Raw genomic sequence first — 6,000 nt, 5'->3', positions numbered from 1 at the left:
GGGTATCACCACAGGAGAGTCCACTTAAGCCTTTGGTAGGTTTAACAAAGTTGGAATTGCTCAGGCACTGTTGAATTGGGCAACATTCTTCAGACCTGGCTCAGAGCTACAGTGCATTTAGTATATTAAAGCAGCTGACATGATGACTTTTTGCAAGCCTTCCCAGGCACTGGAGTTTTTTCTGTTAATTGCCACACTAGGTCATAAAAGTCTCATTAACTTTTTTTTTTTTTGAGACAGAGTTTCACTCTTTTTGCCCAGGCTGGAAAACAATGGCGTGATCTCAGCTCACTGCAACCTCTGCCTCCTGGGTTCAAGTGATTCTCCTGCCTCAGCCTCCAGAGTAGCTAGGATTACAGGCATGTGCCACCACGCCTGGCTAATTTTGTATTTTTAGTAGAAACAGGGTTTCATCATGTTGGCCTGGCTGGTCTCAAACTCCTGACCTCAGGTGATCCACCCTCCTCGGCCTCCCAAAATGCTGAGATTACGGGCATAAGCCACCATGCCTGGCCTTATTAAGATTTATTTTTTATTTTGCAGAAGATTCTAAGAATGCACAGTTGTTCCATTGTCTTGCTAGATTTTGACCTTGTTCCTTCCCTACAACTCTTTTATCTTCCAAGTCACACTTATTACCAACAATCACTGGGACAATATCAGTGTCTTTAACTTAAAGAATCTGTTCTCTCAGATCTTGTAAATCATAAAATGTGGACTGTGCTGGGATGGTATATGCTAATACAAAGCCTTGTCCATTTTTTATGTACAAACCCTTTATTGCTGTAAATTGTTCTGTTCCTGCAGTATCCAATATGTCAAGCATACAGAGTTGTGCATCTATTTCCACTTGCTTTCTGTAATATCTTTTATTGTAGGACCATGTTTTTCAACAAAATTCTTTGTACAAATTGTACAGTCAAAGCAGAATTTCCAACAGCTCCTGAGCCAAGAATGACTAATTTATACTCAAGCATGATACAAATTTTTTAAAACCTAGTACCTCTCATGCTGTCACCAGGTCACTGCAGTCAGTGTTGCTCTGTGCTTTCTCTGAGTTGCTACTCCTGGTGCTATGGTGGTCTTGCCTCTGCTACTGCCACTCTGGCTGGTTTATATGCCTGAATAATGAGTTTTAAAATCATATTTGCACGTGTCATGGTAACTTCACATTAAAAAACATACAATGAATGCACAAAAAAAAAAGCAAGAAACTAAATCATATCACCAGAGAAAATAATCTTCACTAGAGGAAGACAAGAATGAAAGAAAGAAGACCAAAAAACAATATGAAAAGAACAAAATGACAGGTGTAAGTCCTTACTTGTCCATAATAACCTTAAATGTCAATGGGCTAAACTCTCCAATCAAAAGACATAGACTGGCTGAATGGATGAAAAAAAAAACAGTTGATCTTCTGCCTACAAGAAACACACTTCACCTATAAAGATACACAGAGATGGAAAATAAAGGATTGTAAAAAAATATTCCATGCCAAGAGCAGGAGTAGCTATACTTACATCAGACAAAATAGAATTCAAGACAAAAGCAATAAGAAGAGAAGTAGGTCACTATGTAATGATAAGGGGGGTTGGCTCAGCAAGAGGATACAACAATTTTAAATATATATTCACCCAACACTGGAGCACCCACATATATAAAAGAAATATTATTAGAGCTAAGGAGAGAGAGAGACTCTAACACAATAATAGCTGGAGACTTCCACACCTCACTTTCAGCATTGGACAGATCATTCAGACAGAAAATCAACAAAGAAACATCAGACTTAATCTGCAATATAGATCAAATGGATCTAATAGATATTTACAGAACATTTCATCCAAGGGCTGCAGAATACACTTTTTTTTTTTTTTTTTTTTTTTTTTGAGACAGAGTCTCAGCTCACTGCAAGCTCCGCCTCCCGGGTTCACACCATTCTCCTGCCTCAGCCTCCCGAGTAGCTGGGACTACAGTCACCCACCACCATGTCCAGCTAAGTTTTTGTATTTTTAGTAGAGACGGGGTTTCACCATGTTAGCCGGGATGGTCTCGATCTCCTGACCTCGTGATCCACCCACCTCAGGCTCCCAAAGTGCTGGGATTACAGGCATGAGCCACCACACCCAGCCAGAATACACATTATTTTCCTCAGCACATGAATCGTTCTTAAGGATAGGCCAGATGTTAGGTCACAAAACGAACCTTAAAACATTAAAAAAACTGAGATAATATCAAGCATCTTCTCTGACAAAAATAAAACTAGAAATTAATAACAAGAGAAATTTTGGAAACTATTCAAATACATAGAATTTAAACAATATGCTCCTGAACGATCAGTGAGCCAATGAAGAAATTAAGAAGGAAATTGAAAAATTTCTTGAAACAAATGATAATGAAAACACAATATACCAAAATCTATGGGATACAGCAAAAGCAATAGTAAGATAGAATTTTATAGCTCTAAGTATCTACATCAAAAAAAAAGGAAAAACTTCAAATGACAATCTAATGATGCATTTTAAAGAACTAGAAAAGCAAGAGCAAACCAAACCCAGAATTAGTAGAAGAAAAGAAATAATAAAGATCAGAGCAGGACAAAATGGAAAAAACAAAAAAAAAGAAACAAAGTTTTATTTTTTTGAAAAGTTAAACAAAATGGACAAACCTTTAGCCAGTTTAAGAAAAAAAGAAAGAAGATCAAAATAAATAAAATCAGAAATGAAAAAGGAGACATTACAACTGATATCTGCAGTATTCAAAGGATCATTAGTGGCTACTCTGAGCAACTATATGCTAATAAATGGAAACATATAGAAGCAATGGACAAGTTCCTAGATACATATAACCTGCCAAAATTGAACCAGGAAGAAATCCAAAACCTGAGCAGACCAATAACAAGTAATGAGATTGAAGCTGTAATAAAAGTCTCCCAGTAAAGAAAAGCCTGAGACCTAATAGCTTCACTGCTGAATTCTAGCAAATATTTAAAGAAAAACTAATACGAATCCTACTCAACTTATTCTGAAAAACAGAGAAGGAGGGAATACTTCCAAACTCATTCTATGAGGCCAGTACTTCCCTGATACTGAAACCAGATAAAGACACACCAAAAAAGAAAACTACAGGCCAATCTTTGATACATATTGATGCAAAAGTCCACAACTAAATACTAGCAAATTGAATTCAACAATACATTAGAAAGATCATTCATCATGACCAAGTGGGATTTATCCCTGGGATGGAAGGATGATTCAACATATACAAATCAATCAGTGTGCTACATCATATCAAAAGAATGAAGGATCAAAAGCATATGATCATTTTAATTGATGCTGAAAAAGCATTTGGTAAAATTCAACATCCTTTTATGATAAAAACCCTAAAAAAAAAAACTGGGGATAGAAGGAACATACCTGAACATAATAAAAGCCATATATAACCTACCCACAGCTAGTATTATACTGAATGGGGAAAAACTGAAAGCCTTTCCTCTAAGGTCTGGAACATGACAAAGATGCCCACTTCACCACTGTTATTCAACACAGTACTGGACATCCCAGCTAGAGCAATCAGACAAGAGAAAGATATTAAGGGCATCCAAATTGTAAAGGAGGAAGTCAAATCATCCTTGTTTGCAGATGACATATCTCACATGCTGAGAAACCTGGAGACTCCACAGGAAAACTAGCAGAACTGATAAACAAATTTAGTAATTCAGTAGTAGCATTTCTGTATGTCAAGAGTGAACAATCTGAAAAAGAAATCAAGAAAGTAATTCCATTTACAATAGCTACAAATAAAATTAAGTATCTAGGAATTAACCAAAGAAGTGAAAGATCTCTGTAATGAAAACTATAAAACACTGATTAAAGACATTGATTAGGACACACAAAAAATGGAAAAACATTCCATGTTCATTAATTGGAAAAGTCAATATTGTTAAAATGTCCATACTCCCCAAAGCAATCTACAGATTCAATGCAATCCCTATAAAAATACCAATGACATTCTTCACAGAAATAGAAAAAAACAATCCTAAGATTTATATTGAACCACAAGAGACCAAGAATAGCCAAAGCTATCCTAAGCAAAAGAACAAAACTGGAGGAATTACATTACCTGACTTCAAATTATACTACAGAGCTATAGTAACCAAAACAGCATGCTACTGGCATAAAAATAGACACACAGATCAGTGAAACAGACTAGGGAATCCAGAAAGAAATCCACACACCTACAGTAAACTCATTTTTGACAAAGATGCCAAGAACATACACTGGGGAAAAGACAGTCTCTTCAATAAATGGTGTGGGGAAAACTGGATATACATATATAAAGGAATAAAACTAGACCCCTATCTCTCTCCATATACAAAATTCAAATCAAAATGGACTAAAGACTTAAATCTAAGACCTCAAACCATGAAACTACTACAAAAAACATTGGGGAAATCTCCAGGACATTGGTTGGGGTAAAAATTTCTTGAGCAATACCCAACAAGCACAGGCAACCAAAGCAAAAATGGACAAACGAGATCACATCAAGTTAAAAATCTTCTTTACAGCAAAGGATACAATTAACAAAGTTAAGAGAAAACCCACAGAATGGGAGAAAATATTTGCAAACTACCCATCAGACAAGGGATTAATAACCAGAATAAATAAAAAGCTCAAACAACTCTATAGAAAAAAAATCAAATAATCCAATCAAAGGATGGGCAAAAGATTTGAATAGACATTTCTCAAAAGACATACGAATGACAAACAGGCATATGAAAAGGTGTTTAACATCATTAATCATCAGAAAAATGCAAATCAAAACTACAATGGGATATCATCTTACCCAGTTAAAATGGCTTATGTCCAAAAGACAGGCTATAACAAATGCTGGTGGCAATGTGGAGAAAAGGAAACCCTTGTATATTTTTGATGAGAATGTAAATCAATACAACCACTATGGAGAACAGTTTGGAAGTTCCTCAAAAAACTAAAAATTGAGCTACCATATGATCTAGAATTCTACTGCTGGGTATATGCCTAAAAGAAAGAAAATCAGTATATCAAAGAAATATCTGCATGTGAATGTTTATTGCAGCACTGTTTACAATAGCTAAGATTTGGAAGCAACCTAAGTATGCATCAACAGATGAATGGGTAAAGAAAATGTGGTACATATACACAATGGAGAACTATTCAGCCATATTCAGTCACGTCCAACAACATGGATGGAACTGGAGATTATTACGTTAAGTGAATTGAGCTAGGCACAGAAAGGCAAGCATTGCATGTTTTCACTTATTTATGGGATCTAGAAATCAAAACAATTGAATTCATGGACAAAGAGAGTATAAGGATGGTTGCCAGAGGCTGGGAAGGGTGGTGGTGGGTGGGGTGGGGGATGGGAGATGGGGACAGTTAATGGGTACAAAAAATGTAGAAAGAATAAATAAGACCTACTATTTGATAGCACAACAGGGTGACTACAGTCAATAATAACTGTACATATTAAAATGACTTAGAACATACTTGGATTGTTTGCAACTCAGTGGATAAATGCTTGAGGGGATGGACACCCCATTCTTCATGATGTGCTCATTTCACATGGCATGTCTGTTTCAAAACATCTCCTGTACCCCATAAATACATACACCTACTATGTACCCACAAAAATTAAAAAACAAACAAACAAAAATCCAATCAAAAGACGTTCAGCTCAAAACAAAACCTCATGCATGTGTTACTCATAGGGAGAACCTTATATCATTAAGAAAAGGTTAAGTTACATTTAGTATAATTTATTTAAGAAAACAAGGAGGTTGGCCTGTTGTACCGCGGTGGCTCACGCCTGTAATCCTAGCACTTTTGGAGGCCGAGGTGGGCGGATCACGAGGTCAAGAGATCGAGACCACTCTGGGCAACATGGTGAAACCCCATCTCTACTAAAAATACAAAAATTAGCTGGGCATGGTGGCGGGCGTCTGTAGTCTCAGCTACTCGGGAG

At 36.5% G+C, this 6,000-nt stretch overlaps 1 pseudogene; it reads right to left on the bottom strand.

Annotated features, from left to right (window-relative positions):
• Nucleotides 1-314: 314 nt before the first annotated feature.
• RAP1BP3 (RAP1B pseudogene 3) lies at nucleotides 315-1,127 on the bottom strand (annotated as a pseudogene).

This window comes from Homo sapiens, chromosome 6 (genome assembly GCF_000001405.40).
Source record: "Homo sapiens chromosome 6, GRCh38.p14 Primary Assembly".
Classification (NCBI taxonomy): Eukaryota; Metazoa; Chordata; class Mammalia; order Primates; family Hominidae; genus Homo; species Homo sapiens.
The sequence above is the reverse complement of the archived record's forward strand: the minus strand, read 5'-3'. Positions and strand labels throughout refer to the sequence as shown.